At 48.0% G+C, this 26,944-nt stretch overlaps 1 protein-coding gene across 4 annotated transcripts in view, besides 1 other annotated feature; it reads left to right on the forward strand.

Annotated features, from left to right (window-relative positions):
* Positions 1-26,944, forward strand: part of SGSM1 (small G protein signaling modulator 1) — a 121,368-nt gene that overhangs the window by 57,041 nt on the left and 37,383 nt on the right. For 2 of the 4 annotated variants that reach the window (NM_001039948.4, NM_133454.4), the window contains exons 10-17: positions 3,842-3,909; positions 5,125-5,288; positions 5,472-5,604; positions 11,164-11,328; positions 13,326-13,464; positions 16,211-16,275; positions 20,802-20,947; positions 23,349-23,477. In NM_001039948.4, the coding sequence (NP_001035037.1) occupies positions 3,842-3,909; positions 5,125-5,288; positions 5,472-5,604; positions 11,164-11,328; positions 13,326-13,464; positions 16,211-16,275; positions 20,802-20,947; positions 23,349-23,477 (1,009 nt within the window). The remainder of the gene's footprint in view (positions 1-3,841; positions 3,910-5,124; positions 5,289-5,471; positions 5,605-11,163; positions 11,329-13,325; positions 13,465-16,210; positions 16,276-20,801; positions 20,948-23,348; positions 23,478-26,944) is intronic. The other 2 variants (NM_001098497.3, NM_001098498.3) reach the window with 1 other exon arrangement.
* Positions 12,758-12,958: a silencer, noted in NCBI's record as "peak4474 fragment used in MPRA reporter construct". NCBI's record gives its function as "represses an SCP1 promoter by STARR-seq MPRAs in K562 erythroleukemia cells {active_cell/tissue: K562}" and the evidence as "EXISTENCE:reporter gene assay evidence [ECO:0000049][PMID:32103011]".

The following is a 26,944-nucleotide window of genomic DNA, read 5'->3' on the forward strand; positions in this document are numbered from 1 at the left end:
GTTCAAGTGATTCTCCTACCTCAGCCTCCCGGGTAGCTGGGACTACAGGCGCCCACCACTATGCCTGGCTAATTCTTTTCTATTTTTAGTAGAGACGGGGTTTCACCATGTTGGCCAGGATGGTCTCGATCTCTTGACCTCGTGATCCACCCGCCTCCGCCTCCCAAAGTGCTGGGATTACAGGCGTGAGCCACCGCGCCCGGCCATCGTAGGCGCTTTGATACTGAGTTCGGTTGAATCAGAACTTCTAAGGTCACTGCCCAGGAGCTGGGGCATCTCTAGCCCTGGGCCATGAACTCCTGTCTATCGTTGTTATTCTCACCAGAACCTGAGGCTCAATGGAAGATAAATGGCAGGAGTCAGAAATGTGGGGGTTGGTGTGTCGGGAAGGGGTTTGCCCCAGGAGCTCCAGCATCCCTTGGGGGACCAAGAAGCAATGAAATGGGGTGGTTTTTGTCTGAGCTTGTGCAGGAGCTCTTTTTTTCTTCTTTTCTTTTTTTTTTTTTTGAGATGGAGTTTCGCTCTTGTGGTCCAGGCTGGAGTGAAATGGCATGATCTCGGCTCACTGCAACCTCCGCCTCCCAGGTTCAAGCGATTTTCCTGCCTCAGCCTCCCGAGTAGCTGGGATTACAGGCATGTGCCACCACGCCTGACTAATTTTGTATTTTTAGTAGAGACGGGGTTTTTCCATGTTGGTCAAGCTGGTCTCAAACTCCTGACCTCAGGGGATCCATCCACCTCAGCCTCTCAAAGTGTTGGGATTACAGGCATGAGCCACTGTGCCTGGCCAGAGCTCTTTTTTCTTTTCACAGCCAGCCTCACTCTTGCACAGCCACGATCCTCACTCACTAGCTGGGTATTCCAATGTTAAAGAGAAAATGTCACGAAAAAGCTAGATATTGGGGTTCTGAAGTCAGGCTGGACTTGCCTCCGATCTCAGCCCTACTGTGTGGAGCAGCAGTGGAACCCTCCTACCCTGCTGGTGGACAACCAATTTACAGACCAACTTGGCAGTTTCTTGTAACATCCCCTTACCTTGTGACCCAGCAATTCTGCTCATAGGGATCTACCCAAGAGAAGTGAAAACTTAGCCCACACAAAAACTTATACACAAATGCTTATAACAGCATTATTCATAATAGCCCAAGACTCCAAGACCGGAAGCAACCCAGATGCCCATCAACTGAAGAACGGATGTAGACATTTGTGGTCCATCCATGCAACAGAATATTACTTGTCTATAAAAAGAGATAAATCACCAGTGGATATTACAACATGGATGAACCTCAAAAGCCTTATACCACACAAAAGAAGCCAGCCACGAAGGGTGCATGTTGTAGGATTCCATTTAGATGAAATGTCCAGAAAAAGGCACATCTGTGGAGTCAGAAAGCAGATTATTGTTGGTTGCCTAGGGCTGTGGGTGGGAAGGAAGACTGATCGCAAACAGGCAAGAGGAATCTTTTGGGGGTGGTAAAAATGTTCTAACACTGGCTTGTGATGATGGTTGCCCAAATCTGTACATTTACTCATCAAACTGTACACTTACAGAGAGTAAATTCTATGGTGTGTAAATTATACCTCAGTAAAGCTGCTAAAACACGCAAATGAAAATGAGAAACAGCCCTTGCTCCTTCCTAGCTCTGTGGCCTGAGACAATCAACTACACTTCCTTGAGCCTCAGATTATTTATCTGTAAGATGGGAATGTAGTCAGGGAACCACTGAATAAGCATATAGGGAGAATTTATGTAACGGAAGTGCATGGAAAACCCTTAGCTGGGAGCCTGGCACCTGGACAGGGCTCTCAGTCATGAGGGCTGTTGGTGTCATTTTCATGGATCCAAAGAGACTGTGGCCACAGAGCTCCTCCTTGCTGATGGCTGGTGGTAGCTTTGTTCACCGGGCATTCCAGTGCTCAGCATTCACTATGCACTGTGAACATTGTCTGAGCATCACAGAGAAGTGAACAAAGCAGAACCATTCTGCAGGTGTTCAGCACCTTTGAGGAACCAGAGGAGAGGACAGGTGGTTGCAACCCAGCGTGATGGGCACACAGGGCTGTGGGAGCCCAGAGAAGACACCCTGGCTAGACTGGGTATGGGAGGGGCTCAACAGAGGCTGCTGCCCTTGTGTTCTTGACTGTCCTCGAAGGACATTTACTTCCGTGAAGTCTGGTGAGGCTGATTCTGGTACAGGCCAGGGCAGGAAGGGCTTTCAAAGAGAAAAGGTCCCCAGCAGTGTGACTTGAGGGTTTCTCTGAGCCTATCCCACTTTTCTCATTTCACAGCTAGGGAAACTGAGGGCCAGAAACTGAGGTAGGAACTGGCTAAGGTCTCTGGTGGAAGTGGGATTTGAACGCTGCCTGACCTTGAAGCCTATGTTAGTTTGAGTCCTCCAAGAAGCAGACACCAAGACAGGATTGAACCAGCAGAGATTTATTGGGGACACACCTGTGCAGGTTAAGGGAGGGGCAGGAGCAGACAGGGAGAGCCTTCAGACTGCCATGCGGGGAGGGAGAGAAGGAAGGAAGGAAGGTTGGGCAGAAGGAGTCTGAGACACAGCATGGCTCTAAGAACATTTGGCCAGGTCAGTTGGAAGTCTCCGGTGGACCATTGACTGTTAGAGGAGTTCCTTGTCTTGCAGGAATGGGCGGCACTAGTACCCCGGCCTGCTAGGTCCTGGCTGGGAGCAGCCTAACGGAAGCCTGGCTTTGGTGCAAATGTGGTGATAGATCCAGGGAGTGGCCTCTGAAGTTAATCCGCTCTGCTCCCCTCAGCAAGGTCTTCTGAAGGAGATGTGAGTGGTGCATTTCCATGGCCACCACAAAGCCCAAGTTCCTGTGGCCTCCACCTCCCAGTGTGTTCTGATGAGAAAAGCTATTTGTTTCAGGACAGCAGCAAGGTTTTGAGCTGGAAATGGAAACACTTAAATAATCATAGGGACCACTTCCCAGGTACGCACTTCTTAATGTATCAGCTCTGTGTTGAGCCCTTCAAATACTTGATTCTATTTAATTCTCACAGCAACACAATGGGGTGGGTGTTATTCTAGCCCCCATTTTATAGATGAGGAAACTGAGGCTCAGAGAAACCCTCGAGTCACACTGCTGGGAACCTGTGAAGCTATTGAGAGGCTATCCTGACTCCTGCGCGTGGACACATAGTGGCCTGGAGTTAGGATGTGAGTTAGTCAAGACTCCTAGATGCCAGTTAGAGAAAACGAAATTCAAGCTGACTTAAGCACTGGCCCACATGAATTGAAAACTCCAGGGGTAGTAGCTTCAGGCATGGATGGATCCAGGGACTTGAATGACAGGGACCTGCACTCTTTCCATCTCTTTGCTCTGTCTTCCTGTCTTTTGACACCATTCTCAGGCATAGTCGCTTCCATCTTCAGACTTCTGCCCTTACCACTACTCTCCAGACAGGATGGGGCATCTCTTTCCCAGTCATTCAAATGGAAATCTAATAATTGAGTCTCATTGGTTCTGCCAGAGTCAGGAGTCAGTCCTGCACTGAACACTGTGGCCGGAACAGTGGGACAGGTTGATTGGCCAGGCCTGGGTCAGGTGGCCATTCCTGGAGTCCGAGGGTGGAGAGTGGGTGGGGTCGACCTCACCTCCCATATGAACTGGGGGTGGGAAGGATGGTAACCTCGGAAAATTGGGGTTCTGAGACCAGAAAAAGGGGAGATAGAGTCTGGGCAGGCTGGGACACAGATGCTGGGGACCTAATGGGAAGGGTGGAGGAGCTCCTGGTTGTGGTCTGCTGGCCTCTGAGCCCCTCCGCACAGTGGGGTAGGCAGAAGTCCTGCAAGCCTGACCCTCCGTCCGCTTCCAGCGTCTACTGGGACTATGCCATGACCATCCGCTTGGAGGAGATTGTCTACCTGCACTGCCACCAGCAAGGTAGGGACTGTGGGGACAGGAGGGGTCTGCGTATTCCTCTTGGATCCCCTGCCTGTCTCCATCCCTGCCTATTCATTAGCATCATGAGCGAATGATATGGTGGACACCCCATGTTACCTGTGCAACCTTAGGCAAGCGACCTCACCGCTCTGTGCCTCAGTTTCCCCATCTGTAACATGGGAATTATAACAGGACCCTCTCATGGGGTAGTTGTGAAGATGAAGTGATGTATGTTAAGGGCTCAGCATGAAATCCACCTATGGCTATGGCGTTAGCTGCTGACACTTACTAAGCAGTGATAATGTGCTAAGCACAGTTCTGAGCACTCACATGCCCGTTATTCAGTCATCACAGCCACCCACTGACAGGGTGACATCATTTCCATTTTGGAGGAGAGGAAGCAGCTTAGTATAAGGGCACACAGTCTGGAAGCTCCAGAGCCGGGACTGGACCCAGCTTTTTGTGACTCTAAAGTCAGTGCTCTGAAGATTGGGATCAATAACTGCAGTACTTCTTTAAAGCCAGAAGAAAGTACAGTCAGAGTAAGCAGAGGGCCATCCTGCTTTAGAAAGCAAATGGTCCGTGCCTCACCAAGGAACAAAACACGGTGATTTAAGCCTTTTACATGAGACAGACCTGGATTCAGACCCAGACTCTGCCATTGATCAGCTGTGTGACCTTGGAGAAGTTACTTAACCTCTCTGAGCTTTGGTTTTACTATTTGTAAAATAGGCAATAATAGATAGGACTCTTAGGGATATTGTGAGTATTTCAATAAGACAGTGCCTCTAACATGCTGCGCTTGTATTCAGTAAGTGCTCAATACACGCTAGCCAGAGTCAGCTACTGCCCCGAGACAGGGGAAGTCTGAAGGCCTCCATACAAAAATAGGTCAGGTAGACTTGTAAAGGATTCCTGAGGAGCGTAGGGTTCTAGGGGGCGTCTTTTTCCTCTGGTGGTTAATGTCAGGGAGGTCAACTCGGTTCTTCTTGACTTTGTCCTGTAGTCCCGTCAGAGGTGGATGGTGGATGAGATGAGAGAGACTCAGGGGAGGTAAAAACTGCTCCTGACCTTTGCCCAGGACTTTCCCAGAGCCTCAGAGCAGGATCCCTGGGTCTGGCTTGGCACCCCTGGGGGATGTGCTTGCAGGAAGGGGCTGTCACCGTGCCTCATAGTGACTTCCACTGGGTCTTCTCTGGCTGGTGGTGGCGGCAGTTGACAGCGGCGGGACAGTGGTATTGGTCAGCCAGGACGGGATCCAGAGGCCGCCCTTCCGCTTCCCCAAGGGCGGGCACCTCCTGCAGTTCCTCTCGTGCCTGGAGAATGGGCTGCTCCCACATGGGCAGTTGGACCCGCCACTGTGGTCCCAGAGGGGTAAGGTGAGTGATCATCGGGACCCAGGGAGGCTGGGGTGGAGGCTGGTCACAGAGGGTGGTTGTTTTTGCCTGTGTGCCCTTATGTGGCTATGTGGCCTCATGCGCTCTCCACTGATACCCTCAGACTAAGCAAGTTGTGGGGACAGATGTGTCCCAAGGACCTTGTTTTGGGACATGTTTTTGCAGGGCAAAGTGTTTCCTAAACTGCGCAAGCGAAGCCCTCAGGGTTCTGCCGAGTCCACATCTTCAGACAAAGATGATGATGAGGCCACGGATTATGTGTTCAGGATCATCTACCCTGGCATGCAGTCGGAATTCGGTGAGCTGCCCTGTCCCGGGCCCCGGGGAGTCACCTGCTAACTGATCCTGAAAATGACTCCAGGTGTTTGAAACTAGAAGATGACAGGTCTGGATTCTGGGGCTAACAGGAGGATCTGGAAACAGAAAGTCGGTTTCTTGGCAGCCTCAGTTTCCCCCCAAATAAGAACAATAACCACCCTCTACTTGTCTAATAAAGTTGCCACTAGGAGAGGTGGCCTGGGGTAGTGGCAATGGCATAGGCTCTGGAATCCTGGCTGAACTTGGGCAAGTCATCTCAGCCCTCTGTGCCTCAGTTTCCTCATCTGTAAAATGGGCATGTTCATAGCACCAGTTTCATAGTCATTCTGGGGATTAAACGAGGTAAGGCGGCCGGGCATGGTGGCTCATACCCGTAATCCTGGCACTTTGAGAGGCCGAAATTTGGGAGGGAGCACTTTGGATTGCCTGAGCCCAGGAGTTTAAGACCAGCCTGGGCAACATGGCGAAACCCTGTCTCTACAAAAAATACAAAAATTAGCCAGGTGTGGTGGCATGCATCTGTGGTCCCAGCTATTTGGGAGGCTGAGGTGGGAGGATCACCTGAGCCTGGGGAGGTCGAGGCTGCAGTAAGCCGTGATTATGTCATTGCACTACAGCCTGGGCAACAAAGTGAAGGCCTGTCTCAAAATAAATGCAAATTAAAATACTTTTTAAATGAGATAAAGCATTTCACACATACAGAACACTCAAATGTTGCTGCTGTTGTTAATATTCTACTTCCCCTTTTATAAAGATTCAATGAGATGATGAGATATTCATTGTAGAGCCCATAGAGTAAGGCCTTGCACACAGCAGGCCCTCAGTAAGTTGTAGTCAAACTTTACACCGGTAGAGGCGAAGCAGAGCACCAGGCACTGGCACATGAGATGGGGGTGAATTCAAGCAGGTTGCACGGTGCCTGCCGTGACACAGATGCGCAGCAAATGGAAGTTCTTACTAGTAAGCGCATCACCATTGCAGGGCTATGGTGAGGATTCAGTGAATTAAGATTTGAAAAGTACTTAGAAGAGGGCCTGGCATTTATGAAGCATTGTATGGGTGTCTGTTAAACAAATCAGTATTGAGTGGTAGGTTCTTTCTGTTCACTTCATTTTATTTAACATGGAGCGGCCCTCATGTTCCCATCCGAGGATAATGGCTCTGAGCCTCCCTTTGCTGAAGCAGCCACGTGCTGGGCAGTGAGAGGCTCTTTTGAGAGCAGATGTCCTCCTGGACAAGGCTGGAACCCCTTAAGCGCTACAGTGTCCTGAAGTGTTCATGACCATGTCTGTTCCTGCCCTGGATCAGGGCCTCCCAGCCACTCCATGGAACCAGGCGCCCACTATCCTGGCTGGACACCAAGGCTGTTATGGGCCCCAAGGCTGAAGGGGCTCCATGTATGAGGGTGAAATCCCCTGGGATGTTGAGCCAGCGTCTGTTCTGTTGCCCATGAACTTGGGCTTCCCACCCCTGTGAAGACCAACATTCATTAAGAGTTCTACTCGAGAGCCAGTTATCAGAGAGGGCCAGATCCTCTATAGTTGCCTTCCCAGGAAACTCCACAGCTTCTCATCCAACAGGCAATGTGTACACTCCCGCTGGGAGCTAGGCAGAGTGCTGGGTGTTTAATTTATTTGGAGATTCTCTATGTCATCCTCCTGTGGCTTGATGAAGGCCAGTGGAACAGTGAGGACACTGGCTGTGCTCACCCACATCCTCAGCATTTCCCATTCTGTGCATGCTATTCAGCTACCAGCTGCAGCTCCCTGCCTCAGTATCTCTTTGCCTGAGGGTTTTCTCTGGCCACAAGAGTCCCTTCTGGCCAGGGATGGGGCATATTGGAAGCATCGGGGAACCAGTGCCTCCCTGGAGCAGCCCTCAGCTTATGGCTGATAGGAGTTAGTGTATCAATATCCCAGCTCACTGTCCCTTTGTGAGGCAAACTCTGACATACATGTTCGGCACAGTCTCCCAGAGCTTCCATGGGAGATTAAGCACAGTTACCTCTATTGGTAACTTGCTTGGCAACTAACCCTTTACTCCCTCCCCTTTTCTTCCTTTGTCTCAATTTGCCTCTCCCTTACTGATGTGCCTTTGGAACTTGTACTTGGATCCTTGTCTGCCCTTGAGGAAACTCCCAACTAATTCAGTTTATCTAGAATTGGACATCTGAACCTTAGCGTTACTGTCATTTGGGATGGAATAATTCTTTGTTGTAGGAGGTGGTCCTGTGCATTGTGGGATGTTGAGCACCCACTAGATGCCAAGTAGCGAACTTACTTTGCTCTAAGTTGTGACAACCAGATATGTCTCTAGACATTGCCAGGTGTCCTCTGGAGGGTGGCAAAATTGCCTCTGCTTGAGAACCGTTGGTTTAGAGAAAAGAAGGCATCACTGTATTCAGCTCTGCCACTGCGGTGTGGTTAAGTGACCTGTCCTCCGCAGGCCTCACTTCCTTCTCTGTAGAATGGGGTAACAGCAGTCCCCACCAGCAGCATATTCTGAGGAATCAGCAAGATCATTCCTAAAACACCTGGTGACCTGACATGGGGCCTGACGCTTGGCAGATGCTCAGTAAGCAATAGTAGGTATCGTGTCTTGAGTGCCACTGTGTGCCAGGCCCACTTCTGTCTGCTGTCCCACTGTCCCTATCTTAACTCATTCCATCCTCACCATTAGCCCTCCCAGGTTGTCATCACCATCCCCCATTTTGCAAGGAGGAAACTGATGCACAGAAGGGTTAAGCAACTAGTCCAGGATCACACAACTAATTCTTGTCATGGCTGGGATTTGAACGCTGGGGGTCTGGCTCCAGAGCCTGTGCCTCTAACCACCACTCCATGCACATCGTTTTGACTGGCAGGGAGAGGGCATTGTGGTTTCACTCCCTTCAGTCTCAAGGTCAACTTCAACCCACATGGAAATGGCAACCGCATCCTTGGTTGATTTTCTGGGGCTTGAGCCGCACAGGCTTAAGAAAAACAGTCATCCTGCGGTTTCCATTTGTGAGAGGTTTCCATCTGTAAGAGATAAGAAGTTCTTTCTGAAAGAGTGCCTAAATCAGAAGTCAACAAACCCCTTTTCATGGGCCAATTTCAGCCCACTCACCTGTTTTTGTAAATAAAGTTTTATTGGAACACAGCCACATCCATTCATTTATATATCATTTATGGCTGTTTTCATGCCACAGCAGCGGAGGTGAATCGTTGTGACAGAGGTCATATGGCCCACAAAGTTGAAAGTATTTACTGTCAGGCTTTTAACAGAAGAAATTTGCAGATATATGCCTTAAATATAAAGGATTTCACCCTGTGGGAGGGGAGATATGACCACAGATGTTTCTAAGCTGCCTCTCAGTGTCTCATCAGACCTGTCTCCGCTGGGTTCTTTGCCTGCCCCTTGTGCTCTGGGGAGGCAAGGACAAGTTCCAAAATATGTGGACAGGTTCACATCAGATAAGGGCATTTTCAGACCCCTCTGCTTCTGAGATTGTCTCTGTACTGTCTAGCAGGGTAGCCATGGGCTACATGTGGCTCTTGGGCTCCTGAAACATCTCCAGGGCAGATGGGGATGTGCTGGAAGTGTAAGACACACACTGGATTTTGAGACTTTGTTAAAAAAAAAAGTCTCAATAATTTTATATTGATTAGATGTTAAAATAGTAACATTTTGGATAGACTAGGTTAGACAAAATATATTGCTGGAATTGATTTCACCTGTTCTTTTAACCTTTTAATGTGGCTACAAAAATTTTTAAATTATGCCAGGCCCAGTGGCCCACGCCTGTAATCCCAGCACTTTGCGGGGCCGAGGCAGGCAGATCACGAGGTCAGGAGATTCGAGACCATCCTGGCTAACACGGTGAAACCCCATCTCTACTAAAAATACAAAAAACTAGCCGGGCGTGGTGGCACATGTCTGTAGTCCCAGTTACTCGGGAGGCTGAGTCAGGAGAATTGCTTGAACCCGGGAAGCGGAGGTTTTGGTGAGCCGAGATTGTGCCATTGCGCTCCAGCCTGGGCAACAGAGCGAGACTCCATCTCAAAAAAAAAAAAGAAATTTTTTTAAATTACATATGTGGCTCAATTGTAATTTTTTTTTTTGGCAGGGTCTCGCTCTGTTGCCCAGGCTGGAGTGCAGTGGTGCGATCATGGCTCACTGCAGCCTCAACCTCCTGGGCTCAGTCGATCCTTCCACCTCAGCCTCCTGGGTAGCTGGAATCACAGGCACAAGCCACCATACCTGGCTACTTTTTTTTGGATTTTTTGTAGAGATGGGGTTTTGCCATGTTGCCTAGGCTGGACTTGGAACTCCTGGGCTCAAGCAATTCATCCGCCTCAGGCTCCCAAAGTCCTGGGATTGCAGGCGTGAGCCACCTCCCAGCCTCTTGATTGTGTTTCTATTGGGTAATGCTGGTCTAGCGTGGGGTTTCTCAGCCTCAGCACTGTTGACATTTAGGGCTGAATAATTCCTTGTGTGGGGGTTGCCTTGTGTTTTCTACGATGTTGAGCAGCATCCCTGGCCTCCAGCTACTAGATGACAGTAGCACCTAATTAATCCCCAAGGCGTGAAAACCCAAAGTGTCTCCAAACATCAACAGGATTGCCCTGTTTTGAGAACAGATGGTGTGGAGAGACAAGTGCCTATGAGAAACAGCTGAGGGAGAAAGAGTAGGCTCAGAGTCAAGTCCTCAGGCCAGGCACAGTGGCTCATGCCTATAATCCCAGCACTTTGGGAGGCTGAGGCGGGAGGATGGCTTGAGCCCAGGAATTCGAGATCAGCCTGGGCAACATGGCAAAACCCTATCTCTACAAAAAATTTTAAAACATTAGCTGGCCATGCTGGCACGTGCGTGTAGTCCCAGCTACTCAGGAGACTGAGGATGGAGGATCACTTGAGTCTGGGAGATCAGGGCTGCAGTGAGCCACGTTTGTGCCACTGTACATCAGCCTGGATGACAAAACAAGACCCTGCCTCAGAAAAAAAAAAAAGTCAAATCCCCTGGGTTAGGATCTTGGCTCCTCTCCTCATTAGCTGGGTGGTTTTGGGCATGTTGCTTAAACTCTCCATGCCTCAGTTTTCTAATCTGTAAAAGGGGTTAATGATAGTACTGTACTCAGTAGGGACAGCAGTTGTTAGTGGAAAGAGGAGAGGGACTTCAGTCAAAAAGACTAGATACGTCTGTTACTGCCTGGCAGGGCTTTGGGTGATTAAGTCATGCCATCATTCTGAGCCTCAGTTTCTTCTTCTGCAAAATAGAAGAGGGAGGATGCATCCCTCACAGGGTCGTGAAGAACAATAACTGGTTTCCTTAGGTTTGCTCAGGTCGTAAACTTCCTAGCCTGACACTCAGCGCATAGTTGGCACTTTATAAAAATCAGCATTCTTTCTTCTAATTGAACACAGTGAATGTGGGAGCTGTGTGGAGCCGGGAAGGGGGAGGGTTGGAGCCCCCAGAAACTGGCTCTTCCAGCTGTCTCAGTGTCCTGCCCACCGCAGAACCCCCACCTCACTGGTTCTTTCTGTTTTGTGTCTCAAGTTGCCCCCGACTTCTTGGGCAGCACTTCCTCCGTCTCTGTGGGCCCTGCCTGGATGATGGTTCCTGCAGGCCGGTCCATGCTGGTGGTGGCCAGAGGGAGTCAGTGGGAGCCAGCCAGATGGGACACTACTCTCCCCACGCCAAGCCCGAAGGAGCAGCCCCCCAGTAATGTCTGGGATCTCCCCGTCCCCAGGGGCTGGGTGCCAGCCACCTCTGCCATGTTGTCATTTGAGTTCTGGTCCCAAGGGAGATGGAGGCAGGAAGGGAGATGGAGGCAGAGGGATTGATGCCCTCCTGCTGTCCAGCCTCCACTCTATGGAAGGCAGCTTGCAGTGTTGTAGGTTCAGTAGCGAAGGGATCAATTGGTGATGTCTGCATGGATGTGGGTGTGAGAGGCTGAGATGGAGGAAGGCATGGTTGCCATGCTTGGGCTAAACTGGTCAGTGCATCCCTGAGATTGGCTAAGAACTGGGGCTTTTCTTCTAGAACATTTTACAGGGGCTTACTGATCTTGGCTAGCTCATGGGTGAGTCTACATGGGGAAGAATAGTGTAACAAGCCACATTTGGTGGCTGCAAGAATTACATCGTACAGGCAGCTTCCTCTTCTGTCTGTGGGTAGGGGCTGACCTTGTCAGCTACGGAGCTCTGATGGCAAGAGGAGCAGTTCCACAACTCTCCCTTACCTTGGGGCCCAAGGAAGAGTCAGGGTATTACCAGTTGTCCTGTGGGGACCATGACATATGGGAAAAAAAGTGTGCAACTCTCTTCACTTCCTACAGCAGGGATTAGAAAACTAAGATTCATGGGCTGAATTCAGCCCCATTCTGTACCAGCCTATGAGCTAAGAATGTTTTTTCAATTTTTAAATGATCCAAAAAAGCCAAAAGGAGAGTAATATTTTGTGACATGAAAATGATATGACATTCACATTTCAGTATTTATAAATAAAGTTTATTTTATTAGAACATGTGCATGCTTCCTTTTTTACATTTTGTTTATGGTTACTTTTGCACTAGAACAACAGAGTCAGGTGCTTATGACAGAGACCAAATGGCTTACAAACACTAAAATATTTACTAGCTGTCCCTTTACAGAAAAAGTTTTTATGGATCCCTGTTTTAAAGAAGATAAAAGAATGGCGTGAACCCAGGAGGCGGAGCTTGCAGTGAGCCAAGACCACGCCACTGCACTCCAGCCTGGGCAATAAAGCGAGACTCCATCTCAGAAAAAAAAAAAAAGAAAGAAAGAAAAAAGAAAAAGAAAATAAAGCTTTTGCACCTGTCTAGGACTACCAAGAGGCCAGGAAGTTGACTATAGAAATGGTAATGCATATGTCCCCAGTATGTTTGTTACGTGGTTTTGTAGACTCTGCAGTTCTTATGAAGCTGAGAAAGAAAAATAAATAAAGGAAGCTATGAGTGCTGTATCCTGAGAGTGGCTGGTCAGGAATCACCAGTGTCCAAAAGTTAGGAAATCAGAGTCCATCGAATATACCTGCTGTATCAAAATTGCTTTAGAAATACAGATTTGAGAGCTCTGTCTCTAGGATTTAGTTGAGTAGGCCAGGAGTGTGGGGCAGCCATATTGCTTTTTAACAAGCTTCCCACGTGATTTTAGGGAGTTGCTAATATGTTTGAGACCCACTTGCTGGAGCAGCTTTAGCCTCAGGACCATGGACAGCGCAGGTGCCCTCTTCCTCAGCAGGGGCTTCACTGGGTCTCTGGCACTTGGGTGCCCTGCCTCATCTATTGAGTCAGGCTCCCTTCCATCTCAGCCATGAGGCCTGTCTCTTCTCCAGAATCATCCAGCAGGCTCCCCTTCCCTCCTGCAGCATCCTGTGAGCATGACTAAGTGACAACATGGCAAGGCTTGGCCTCCTGCTCTGGGATTGGGCCTGGTTTCTTGGCTCTTGGCTCTCTGTGTCCTCTTCTTCTCTCTTTGGCTGTCATCAGCTCTGCCCCAGATTTTGGTGGTGGCTTTCATTGGATCAGGCAAACTCAAGGATGATTAGGGCTGCTGTTTCCTACTGTCATCTTCAGGGTCTTTTCCTATCTCTGTGCTGGCTGGGGCGGGTGAGCTGCTTGCTCTAGGGTGAGATTTCTGTGACCCACATAGGTTTAACCAGGGTGATTCTTCTGCCCCTCCTTCTATCCACCACAGTGCCCCAGGATCTGATGGACGTCTCTGTAAGCAACCTCCCATCCCTGTGGCAGCCCAGTCCCCGGAAGTCCTCCTGTTCATCCTGTTCACAGAGTGGCTCGGCTGATGGTAGCTCGACCAATGGCTGCAACCATGAGAGGTATGAGGGGCTTGAGCTGCAGATGGAGAGAGCTGAAGGATGTACCAGAGATCTGTAGATGCCCATGTCTTACCCTGCACTGAATTCAGAGTGAGCATAACCTGCGGACTCAGGCAGATATAGGTTAAATCCTGGCCATGAAATCCTAGCTGTTAGAGGTTACATGTAATAGTCAGGATAAACAAGGTTATGCTGCAGTAACAAACAGTCCTAAAACCTCAGTGGCTTTTTTACAACAAAAGTTTATTTATCATGCATGCTGTGTTTCTATCATGGGTCAGCTGGTGGCTGTTTTTTCCACACTAAAGGGCCTGGGTGATGGAGCAGCTACCATCTTGAATGTTGCCAGTTACAATGACAGGGAAAGGTAGCTCTGCAGAGGTTGGAACCTACGATAAAAAGGCTCTGCCCAAAAGCAGCACATGTCATATCCACTCACAGCCCATTGGCCCCATCCACAAGGGGACAGTAAGTGCAGCCCTACCATACACCTAGAAGGCAAAATAATCCCAGAAATATTATTTAACAACAACCACATCTCAGTTTGCACCCCCACACAGTGGAAATTCCAGTTCTTAACTTTATATGGCTGTGGTAAGGACCAGCTCAGGTAATGGTTTAAAGTGGCCAGAATGTGGCACCTGCACATGGTACTGTTCAGTAAATGACACTTAATGTTTTATTATATAAAGTTAAATCTCAAGCTCATCTTCTGTTTGCCCATAGATCCTTTGTCTCTTTGAAACTCTTCAGCCAATTCATGAGACTGATCTTGTTTTCCCCTGGTCCAACCTGGCCTGGCCTGAGAAAATAGAACCCTTTTGTCCTTGCGGGGCTTCTGTCCTAGTGGGTGGTCCAGTCATCAGCCATAGGATATAAGGGGTGGGGGCTGGCATCAAATTTTTGGAGTCATCCAATCCCCTGGTTCCTCAGGGTGTGGTCCGTGAACCAGCATCAGCACCTGGGCAAATTCTGAGTCTCTCATCCCAAACTTCCTGAATCAGAACCTGTATTTAACGTGGTTTCAAGACCATGTGTATACTTTAAAGTTTGAGAAGTGCTAATATTACTGGAGATTCTTTCTTTCTTTTTTTTTTTTTTTTTTTTTTTTTTGAGACTGAGTCTCTTTCTGTCGCCCAGGCTGGAGTGCAATGGCATGATCTTGGCTCACTTCAACCTCCGCCTCCCGGGTTTAAGCAATTCTCCTGCCTCAGCCTCCCGAGTAGCTGGGACTACAGGCATGTGCCACCATTCCTGGCTAGTTTTTGTGTTTTTAGTAGAGATGGGGTTTCACTATGTTGGCCAGTCTGCTCTCGAACCCCTGACCTCAAGTGATCCGCCCACCTTGGCCTCCCAAAGTGCTGGGATTACAGGCATGAGCCACCGCGCCCCGCCTGGAGATTCTCTTATCATGCATTAGAATCACCTGGGCTAGGTGGCAAAACATATCAGTTCCTGGACTATTTCCTAGAGGTCCTGACTGAGTAGGTATGTGCAGGACCCAGGAATCCACATGTTGGAGAAATTCCAAGTAACTCTTGGGCTGATGGTCCGTGGACCAGTGAGAAAGGCTGCTATAACCCATTGCCCCCTCTCCTGTTGTAGCATCTGCTTACACACTTGGAGTGATGGAGAGCTCACTACTTTGCAGAAAGCGAAGTCTACAGCGGGAAAGCTGTTGATGTGATCCTATTCTGATGTAATCTGAGCAAGTCTGAGCCTCATCAACCTGAGGGCACAAAGGGGAACTCTTTACTGTTTAATGTTCCTAACTGTCTCAATGTGCCTAAGTGGAGGACTTCAGCTATGCTCCTTCTGCCCTGCCCCAGTCTACCTGTTTTTCTGGATGTCTCCTGGGATGTCCTGAGAACAAATATGCAGATATTCTTCCATTCTATCCTCTATGAGAGTGTACAACACTCCCTTCAGCAGTCCTGGATTTCTCCAACAATGCTAGAATCTGACTCCTCTCACCTCTTTCAGCCGAAAAAGTTCCCAAAAATTCCCATGCAAGGAGAAGCTTTGAGGCATCACCTACTTAGCAATCAGCCAGACTCTGAATCCCACTTTGGCTCAGCTTGGTTCAGCTGGATCACTTTACAAATCAGAACTCTTTCTGCAAGTGATAGAAACCCACTTCAAACTGGTTCAAGTACAAAAGGAAATTTGTTGGTGTAACTGAGAAGCTTAGAGGCACAGTGGCTTCAGGCATGGCTGGATACAGATGATCGAAATAGGAATCTCTGTTTCTTCAGCTCTTGGCTCTGCTTGCTTCTATGATGGTTCCATCCTCAGACAGGTGCTTCCTATGCAGTGGCAAAGATGGCTCCCAGCAGCCACTGCCCTATATCCCACTGGCTTAGAAACCCATTCAGAAAAGTGTCTGTTACCTAGTAATTCCAACAAAAGTCCCAGGGCTAATTCTCATTGGCTCAGGTTGGGTCACATGACCATCTCTGCCCCAATCACTGTGACTCCAACCTGAGTCCTGTAGTGGGCAGAGTCATCCACATACAAACCACACAGACAGTTGTGGAGAGCGTGATTTCTCAAGGGAAAATCAGGGGGCCGGTACCAGAAGAGGCAATGATGCTGTACAGGTAGAGGTAATAGCAGCCCTCCCTACAGTCTCCCTGACTGGCTGATATTAATCTGCCCTCTAGAGATAGCACGTGGTTATCCTCTCCAGAAAATCTGGGCTGTGTTTGGATCTATTCTAAGCATCTCCCTCTTTCTCCACCTGCAGGGCTCCCCTGAAACTTCTCTGTGACAATATGAAGTACCAGATCCTCTCCAGAGCCTTCTATGGATGTACGTATAGGGCTCCATTGCCAGTGTGTCTCCGTGGAGCAGCTATTGGTGCCTGCTGTATGCCAGCAATATCAAAAGATACTGGCTCTGGAGTTTGAACCTCTCCTCCTCTATTCCCTAGATGTCTGGTTTCAGTGACGTTACATGAACTTCTCTGAGCCTCAGTTTTCTTGTCTACTGACGGGATAAATTTTACCCCTGGGTCCTGAGAGAGGACAGTGGACAGTGGGGTCCCCTGGGGACAGAGATTTGGTTTAATCACCACTGCATCCCCAGGTGCTACAGTGGAGGATTTGTTTTCAGGATTGAATGAGGACCACGTAGAAAGCCCCAGCACCTAGTATTGCATGCTGTAGGTGCTCAATAAATGTCAGTTTCCTTCTCTCGTGGGCAGAAAGAGCAGAAAGAGTAAGGTGACCTTATCCCTCCCCCAAAACTTAAATATTAAATTCATAATACTTGTATTATGATTATTCCTGTTTAACAGATGAAGACACTAAGGCACAGAGAGGCAAGATGACTTGCCTAAGGTCACACAGCTAACAAGCAGTAGAGCTGAGACTCAAACCTTGGCATGTCTGACTCCAAAAGCTTTGTGTTTTCCTCTCTGCTGTCTTTTTTTTTTTGAGACAGAGTCTCGCTCTGTCACCCAGGCTGGAGTGCAATGGCTTGATCTCGGCTCACTGCAAGCTCCACCTCCTGGGTTCACGCCATTCTCCTGCCTTAGCCTCTTGAGTAGCTGGGATTACAGGCACCCGCCACCACACCCAGCTAATTTTTCTGTTTTTAATAGAGACGGGTTTCACCATGTTGGCCAGGCTGGTCTCGAACTCCTGACCTCAGGTGATCCACCCACCTCAGGCTCCCAAAGTGCTGGGATTACAGGCATGAGCCACCACATCTGTCTCTGCCACCTTGATTTTTCAGTTTTATTTCCCCAGCCTGACAGCCTAGATGGGGAAGATAAAACGTGTGTGTATTTTCAGGAATTCTAGAAACATCTTAATACAACCTGCATGGGTCTGTGAAACAGCAGTGGAGCTCACACCCTGAGTGCCTGGAGAGGCAGGGAGAGTGTGACTTCACTAGGACAGGGGTTTTATCTGTTCTGTTGCCACCCATCCACAGTGCCTAATGCAGGACCTGGCATGAAGTAGGCATTGGGCAAGTATTTATTGGACCCAAATGGAAGCAGGAAGGGGTGGGGGAGTCGAGATGGGTCTGGAGCAATGTCTTTGGACAATGTGGCTCATCCCTAATGGTGACTGAGAACCTGAGTTCTGGAGCGAGGTGACCTGGTTTCAGATCCCAGCGATGCGACTTGGGCAAGTGACATAACCGGTTTGTACCTCAGTTTACCCCATCTATAAGATGGAAATAATGGGCAGGCGCGGTGGCTTGCGCCTATAATCCCAGCACTTTGGGAGGCCAAGGTGGGTGGATTGTCTGAGGTCAGGAGTTCGAGACCAGCCTGGTCAACATGGTGAAACCCCGTCTCTACTAAAAATACAAAAAAATTGGCCGGGCATGGTGGCACACGCCTGTAGTCTCAGCTACTTGGGAGGCTGAGGCAGGAGAATCGCTTGAACCCAGGAGGCAGAGGTTGCAGTGAGCCAAGATTGCGCCACTGCACTCCAGCCTGGGTGACAAAGCAAGACTCCGTCTCAAAAAAAAAAAAAAAAAAAAGATGGAGATAATAATAGTAACTAATTCCTAGGGTTGTGGGGAGAATGGGATGAGTTAAGTTATGCAACTCTGGGCCGGGCGTGGTGGCTCACGCCTGTAATCCCAGCACTTTGGGAGGCCTAGGTGGGCGGATCACGAGGTCAGGAGATTGAAACCATCCTGGCTAACATGGTGAAACCCCGTCTCTACTAAAAATACAAAAAATTAGTCGGGTGTGGTGGTGGGCGCCTGTAGTCCCAGCTACTCAGGAGGCTGAGGCAGGAGAATGGCATAAACCTGGGATGCGGAGCTTGCAGTGAGTTGAGATCGCGCCACTGCACTCCAGCCTGGGTGACAGAGCGAGACTCCGTCTCAAAAACAAAACAAAACAAAACAAAACAAAAAAAACCAGCAACAACAACAAAAATAGTTATGCAACTCTGGGAACAGTTCCTTGCCATGCAGCGTGTGTTGTGTAAGTGTTAGCTATTATATCATCGTCATCATCATCATCCTCCTCCTCCTCATCATCATCACTATGACTGTCTCTTTTGTTAAAGTTTAGTCTGCAGTCTCCAGAAGGTCCAGGGTTCTCTCTGAGAACTGAGGATGAAATAGTCTTGGAGAGCCAGAAGGAAGGGGCACAGCCAGAGCAAACAGCACAGGCTGCCATTTGCTGAGGCACTTTACCTAACACCCTCCAGGTGCCAGTGTGGGCCAGATAAGGGGTGGCACGTTGGTGGATATGCTTTAAGAAGGCAGGGCCATCTTTGAAAGCAAACTTGATGCCCTGTCAGCATCTCCCTGGTTACTGACTTGGGGGGGGGCCTTTTTAATCCAGCTTCAATTTTTGTATTTTTTTTTATTTAAATTTAAAATTTCTACTTTTATTTTAGTTTTTTGAGACAGGGTCTCGCCTTGTCACCCCGGCTAGACGCAATTATGGTTCACTGCACCCTCTACCTCCCTGGCTGAAGCGATCCTCCCACCTCAGCCTCCTGAGTAGCTGGAACTACAGGCCGGTGCCAGTATGCCTGGCTAGTTTTTTGTATTTTTTTTGTAGAGATGTGGTCTCACTATGTTGCCTAGGCTGGTCTTGAACTCCTGGGCTCAACAGATCTGCCCACCTAGGCTTCCCAAAGTGCAGGGACTACAGGCTTGAGGCACTGTGCCCCGCCCTGTTTTTTATTTATTTTTTGATAGATATATTGTGGTTGTACATATTTTAGGGGTACATAGGATATTTTGATAGATGTATCCATTGTGTATTGATCAAGTCCAGGTAATTGTGAAATTCATCACTTCAAACATTTATCTTCATTTGGAGAACGTTACGGTTCTTCTATAATAGCTATTTTGAAATATACAATAAATTATTAACTATAATTTCCCCACTATACCATCCAATACAAGAACGTATTCCATCTAACTGTATTTTTGTACCATTAACCAACGTCTCTGCATCCTTCTGACCTCCTTCCCTTCCTACCCTCTGGTAACCACTAGTCCACTCTCCACCTCCATGAAAACTACTTTTTTAGATCCCATTATAAGTAAGAACATGTGATATTTGTCTTTCTGTGCCTCGCGTTTTTTTGCTTAACATAACCTCCAGCTCCATCCATGCTGCTGCGCATGACAGGATTTCATTCTTTTCATGGCTGAATAATATTCCATCACATTTGTATACCACGGTTTCTTTTTTTTTTTCTTTCTTTTTTTTTGAGACAGAGTCTCGCTCTGTCGCCCAGGCTGGAGTGCAGTGGCGCGATCTCAGCTCACTGCAAGCTCCGCCTCCTGGGTTCACGCCATTCTCCTGCCTCAGCCTCCGGAGTAGCTGGGACTACAGGTGCCGGCCACCATGAGCTAATTTTTTTGTATTTTTTTTTTTTTTAGTAGAGACGGGGTCTCACCGTGTTAGTCAGGATGTTCTCAATCTCCTGACCTCGTGATCCGCCCGCCTCAGTCTCCCAAAGTGTTGGGATTACAGGCATGAGCCACCGCGCACGGCCACCACGGTTTCTTTATCCATTCATTCACTGATGGACATTTAGGTTGATTTTGTATGTTGGCTATCATGAATGGTGTTGCAGTAAACATGGGGGTGCAGATATATCTTTGTTTCCTTTCTTTTGGATAAATATTCAGCTGCAATTTGAACAGGAGTTGTCCACGTTTCACATTCTCTTTCTTGCTGTATGGATTAGAGACAGACAGAGGCACAGCAAGCCCACAGAGTCACTGGCCACCTTCCTTTCTACCCCCTTCTCTGCCTCTAGCCTATGAATTAAATGCTTTGGCTTAGAGCAGAGAAGGGTGCCATCACCCTGACTGAGGCTGAGAAAGGTGATAAGACTTCCCTAGGGTTATAGAGCTATTTAGCAGTCCAGCCAGCAAGTGCATAAAGCTCTGTCTTCCTTGTCTGGAAAAGGGGAAGTTGACAAGAATTCACTGAGTCATGGCGTTTAGTAAGATCAGGAGTGGGCCAGGTGCAGTGGTTTGTGCTTGTAATCCCAGCACTTTGGGAGGCTGAAGCAGGAGGATCACTTGAGTCCAGGAGTTCGAGGCCAGCCTGGGCAAGATGGTGAAACCTCGTCTCTACAAAAAATAAAAAATTAGCCAGACGTGCTGGCGCGTGCCTCTGGTCCCAGGTACTCGAGAGGCTGTGGTGAGAGGATCGCATCAGCCTGGGAGGTTGAGGCTGCAGTGAGCCATGATAATAATAAATAATAGAGCAAGACTCTGTCTCAAAACAAAAATTTTAAAAAATTTGAGGTGGGACAGAACTTGGGAAGTCCCATGAGACAAGGTGAGGGGCTTCAGGTGGTGGATGATGACACTTTCCCTCCCTCCCTCAACAGGGCTGGCCTACTGCAGACACCTGTCCACCGTGAGAACCCACCTATCAGCCCTGGTCAATCACATGATCGTGTCTCCAGACTTGCCCTGCGATGCTGGACAGGGACTGACAGCCAGGATCTGGGAGCAGTACCTTCACGACAGCACAGTAAGGCTTAGCTGGGCTTGGTCTGCAGTGATGCAGAGGCTGCAGGGGGGTCATCTTATTATCTGAGAAATAAGCCCACATGCTTGTGGGGACTTGAGCTGACGTGCTTGGATTCTGCATATGCAAATTGGAGTTCCCCTTCTCCTTGAGAGTTCCAAGACCTACAGCTCACTTCTGCCCATCAGTGTGGAGATTGAATGGGAGGTAAAACATATGCTCACCTGGAAGGAGTAAAGAACAAATCAGTCTGTAGCATTTATTATTAAGCATCAGCTGGGATGGGCACGGTGGCTCACGCCTGTAATCCCAGCACTTTGGGAGGCTGAGGAGGGTGGATCACTTGAGGTCAGGAGTTCAAGACCAGCCTGTCAAACACGGTGAAACCCCATCTCTACTAAAAATAGAAAAATTAGCTTGCCATTGTGGTTGAGTACACCTAAGACTAAAGTGAAATAGGCTTTTAATATCGGAATGTGAATAGATGAGGGGGAAGAGGCCCCAGGGCCCTTCAGGGCAGCCTTCCAACACCATCACTTCCCACAGCGCATGTACAGTTAGGACCTGCTGGCCCCACAGCTTGACTAATTGTAACTGCAAAACCTTTGCCTGAAAATGAAATTTTAAAAAGAAAACAGACAAACTCAACCCCACCATACACCACATACCTGTTAAAGTCATCCTAGTGTGCACAAAAGATATTAGTGTATGAGGTAGCAGCGAGAATTGTACACTTTGGATTAATTTGCTTTAGATAATTTTTTTTTTTTTGAGATGGAGTTTTGCTCTTGTTGCCCAGGCTGGAGTGCAATGGCATGATCTAGGCTCACTGCAACCTCCGCCTCCTGGGTTCAAGCAATTCTCCTGCCTCAGCCTCCAAGTAGCTGGGATTACAGTGCCTGGCCAATTTTGTATTTTAAGTAGAGACGGGGTTTCTCCATGTTGGTCAGGCTGGTCTCAAACTCCCGACCTCAGGTGGTCTGCCCGCCTCAGCCTCCCAAAGTGCTGGGATTACAGGCGTGAGCCGCTGCGCCCAGCCAAGAAATTTTCCTAGAGCTGAGTCAAGATTAATAATTGCAAGATAATATTTTCAAATAAGCATAAGGCAAAAATGGGCTTAAAATTAATTAAAATATTAATTCATTATAGCCTCCCCTTTCTCTTTTTACATAAACGGACTCATACCACATAGTTTTACAACTTATTTTTTTTTTTCGATTAGCGACACACATTGAGCACCTTTTTTTTTTTTTTTTTTTTTGAGATGGAGTCTCGCTCTGTCACCCGGGCTGGAGTGCAGTGGCACAATCTCGGCTCACTGCAAGCTCCGCTTCCCGGGTTCAAGCGATTCTTCTGCTTCAGCCTCCCAAGTAGTTGGGCACCACTGTGCCCAGCTAATTTTTGTATTTTTAGAGACGAGGTTTCACCATGTTGGCCAGGCTGGTCTGGAACTCCTGACCTCGTGATCCGCCTGCCTCGGTCTCCCAAAGTGCTGGGATTACAGGCGTGAGCCACTACGCCCAGCTGAACACCTTTTTATGTGGGTCCCCATAGATGTATCCCTCGCTCTTTTACATCTCTGTGTTGCGTACCCGTGTAGGGACGCATGTTCACCCATTGATGCGCAGTTGGAGAGTTACCTGAGTTTGGCTTTTTCATATGATGCCACGACAGATATCCAAGTACCTGTGACTTTCCTTATTCACGCCAGGATATCTGAGGGCTAGGTCCAAGAAGCAGGACTGCTGGACCACGGAAGTAGATCATAGAAGTAGATCATGCCTCCAAGTAGATCATGGAAGTAGATCATAATGATACAGTTAGGGTGTTGCCAATTAGTATTCTAGAAGGACAGGTGCACAGAAGTTGAGGAATATTGGTGAGAAGTTAGCTCAGGGTGGCCAGGCGCAGTGGCTCACACCTGTAATCCCAGCACTTTGGGAGGCCAAGGAGGGCGAATCACCTGAGATCAGAGTCCGAGACCACCCTGGGGTCAGGAGTTCGAGACCAGCCTGGCCAACATGGTGAAACCCCGTCTCTACTAAAAATACAAAAATTAGCTGGATGTGGTGGCAAGCACTGGTAATCCCAGCTACTCGGGAGGCTGAGGCAGGAGAATCACTTGAAACTGGGAGGCGGAGGTTGCAGTGAGCCAAGATCACACCACTGCACTACAGCCTGGGTGACAGAGCGCTCTGTCTCAAAGAGAAGAAGATAGCTCAGGGTGGCTGGGTGCAGTGGCTCACGCCTGTAATCCCAGCACTTTGGGAGGCCAAGGCGGGCAGATCACTGAAGGTCAGGAGTTCAAGACCAATCTGGCCAACATGGTGAAACCCCATCCCTACTAAAACCACCCCCTGGTTTTCTGTTGACCAAACTCTTTGCTCCTCTCCACCCACCACAGAGTTACGAGGAGCAGGAGCTGCTGCGCCTCATCTACTACGGGGGCATCCAGCCTGAGATCCGCAAGGCCGTGTGGCCCTTCCTCCTGGGCCACTACCAGTTCGGGATGACGGAAACAGAAAGGAAAGAGGTCGGTTACCTGCCATGGGCACTGGGATCTTTGGCAACAAAAGGAGCCAGATACTGTGGGGCTGGGGAGTGCTGGTTCCACGCTGGACCAAGGAAGGGGAGGGAGATACGGGGAAGATGGGAACCTGAAGGCGGCGCTGTCCAATAGAAACATAACACAAGCCACATAGGCAATTTTTACGTTTTTAAATTTTGGACTAAGTGTAGATTATGCAGTTGTAAGAAATTAATGTGGAGAACTATGTGCATCTTTTACCCAATTTTTTTCTGATGGTAATATCTTGTAAAACTGTAAGGTAGTAAAATATCGGAACCAGAAGATTGACATGGTATAATATACTCATCTTAATCAGACTTTCCCAGTTTTACTTGTACTTATTTGTGTGTGTGTGTGTGTGTGTGTGTGTGTGTTTTCTCTGCAGTTTTCTCACGTGTAGATCTGTGTCCATCACCACGGCCAACATACAGTACATTTTTAATGCTATAAGGACCCCCACGTTGTCCTTTTATAGCCAGACTCACCTCCCCCATACCCACACCCTGGCCCTAATTCCTGGCAACCACTAATCATATGTTCTTCATTTCTATAATTTTGTCATCTCAAGAATGTTATATAAATGGAATGATACAGTGTGTAATGTTTTGGGATTGACTTTTTTTCACTCAGCATAAAACCTCATCCAAGTTGTTGAGAGTATCAAGAGTTGATTCCTTTTGATGGCTGAGTAGTATTCCATGATGTGGCTGTAGCACCTGTTGCTAGACAGCTGAGTTGTTTCTGGTTTTTTGGCTGTTACAAATCAAGCTGTAATGAACATTCGTGTACAGTTTTTGTATGAGCATAACTTGTCATTTATCTGGGATAAATGAGTAAGAATGTAATTGCTGGGTCATATAGTAGTCGCATGTTCAGTTTTATATGAAACTGGCAAACTTTCACAGTAGCACATGCCTTTAGTCTCACTCAGCAAGAGGTTCGCTTGAGCTCATGAGTTCAGGTGCAGCCTGGGCAACATCGGGAGACCCTGTCTCTAAGGAGAGAAAATAAACTACCACACTTCTGCAGTGACTGTATCATTTTCTGTGTCCACCAGCAAAATATGAGTGATCCACATTTGCATCTTCACCAGAGTTTTGTCTTGTCACTATTTTTTATTTCAGCCACCTGACATGGATAATTGATATTTCCTTGTTTTAATTTGCATTTCCTAAACGGCTAATGAAGTTGAAGGTCTTTTCATGTGTTTATTTGCCATTGTGTATCTTCTCTGGTGAAATGTCTGCTAACGTCTTTTGTCCACCTTCTAATTGGATTGTTTGGTTTTTTTTCCTGTGGAGTTGGAGAGTCCTTTATATACTCTGATAACAGTCCTTTGTTCAGATACGTGATTGGCAAATATTTCCTCCGAGTCTGTAACTTTTCATCTTGTAAGCAGGGTTTTCTGCAAAACAAATTTTTAAATTTTTAATGAAACTCAGTTTATCAATTTTTCCTTTTATGAATTGTGCTTTTGGTGTCAAGTCTAAGAAAATTTTGCCTAGCCCTAGGTCCTGAAGATCTTCTCCTACGATTTATCCTAAAAATTTTCTAGTTTACATTTGAGGTAAAATCTTTTGAGTTTTTTTTTCTTATATACAGTGTGTCATTTAGGTCAAAGTTCATTTTTCGTTTTTTGGTGTTCAATTGCTCCAGCATCATTTGTTGAAAAGATGTCCTTCCTCCATTGAATTGCTCTTGCACTGTTAAAAAACAGCTGGGGCCGGGCACGGTGGCTCACGTCTATAATCCCAGCACTTTGGGAGGCCGAGGCAGGTGGATCACCTGAGGTCAGGAGTTCAAGACCAGCCTGACCAACATAGCAAAACCCCATCTCTACTAAAAATACAAAACAAAAACAAAAATCAGCTGGGCATGGTGGCGGGCGCCTGTAGTCCCAGCTACTCAGGAGGCTGAGGCAGAAGAATCGCTTGAACCTGGGAGGTGGAGGTTGCAGTGAGCCGAAGTCATGCCACTGCAGTCCAGCATGGGCAATAGAGCAAGACTCCATCTCAAAAAAACAAAACAACAACAAAAAGACAGTTGGGAACATACTTGTAGGTCTGTTTCTGGGTTCTTCTGTTCCGGTGATCTATGAATCTGTCCTTCTGCCAGTACCACTCTGTCTTGATTATTGTAACACATGTGTAATTTTAAATGTTTTCATAGTCACCTTTTTTTTTTTTTTTTTTTTTTTTTGAGACAGAGTGTCTGTCTGTCAGAGTCTTGCTCTGTCGCCCAGGCTAGAGTGCAGTGGTGCAATCTCGGCTTACTACAACCTCCACCTCCCAGGTTCAAGTGATTCTCCTGCCTCAGCCTCCCCAGTAGCTGGGACTACAGGCGCCCGACACCACGCCAAGCTACTTTTTGTATTTTTAGTAGAGACGGGGTTTCACCATGTTGGCCAGGCTGGTCCTAAACTGCTGACCTCGTGATCCGCCTGCCTTGGCCTCCCAAAGTGCTGGGATTACAGGCGTGAGCCACCGTGCCCGGCCCTCATAGTCACATTTTAAAAGTAAAAAGAAACAGATGCAATTCATATTTTTGAGCTTCTTATTTTGAAATATAAATGGTCCCCAACTTCCAACGGTTGGTCTTACAATTTTTTGACTTCATGATGGCTTTATCACGTTATTAAATGTATTTCTTTTTTTTTTTTTTTTGAGGCAGAGTCTCACTCTGTTGCCCAGGCTGCAGTGCAGTGGTGTGATCTTGGCTTACTGCAACCTCCGTCTCCCAGGCTCAAGCAATTACCCTGCCTGGGCCTCCCAAGTAGCTGGGATTATAGGCATGCGCCACCACACCTGCCTAATTTTCGTATTTTTAGTAGAGACGAGGTTTCACCATGTTGGATTATAGGCGTGAGCCACCGGGCCTGGCCTTAAATTGATTTTTTTTTTTTTGAGATAGAGTCTTGCTGTGTCGCCCAGGCTGGAATGCAGTGGCGCGATCTCGGCTCACTGCAAGCTCTGCCTGCTGAGTTCACACCATTCTCCTGCCTCAGCCTCCCAAATAGCTGGGACTACAGGCGCCCGCCACCATGCCTGGCTAATTTTTTGTATTTTTAGTAGAGACGAGGTTTCACCGTGTTGGCCGGGCTGGTCTTGAACTCCTGACCTCAAGTGATCCACCCACTTTGGCCTCCCAAAGTGCTGGGATTATAGGCGTGAGCCACCGGGCCTGGCCTTAAATGGATTTTTTTTTTTTTTTGAGACGGAGTCTTGCTCTGTCGCCCAGGCTGGAGTGCAGTGGCGCGATCTCGGCTCACTGCAAGCTCTGCCTGCTGGGTTCACGCCATTCTTCTGCCTCAGCCTCCCAAGTAGCTGGGACTGCAGGCGCCTGCCACCACGCCTGGCTAATTTTTTGTATTTTTAGCAGAGACAGGGTTTTACCGTGTTAGATAGGATGGTCTCGATCTCCTGACCTTGTGA

Source organism: Homo sapiens, chromosome 22 (genome assembly GCF_000001405.40).
Source record: "Homo sapiens chromosome 22, GRCh38.p14 Primary Assembly".
Classification (NCBI taxonomy): domain Eukaryota; kingdom Metazoa; phylum Chordata; class Mammalia; order Primates; family Hominidae; genus Homo; species Homo sapiens.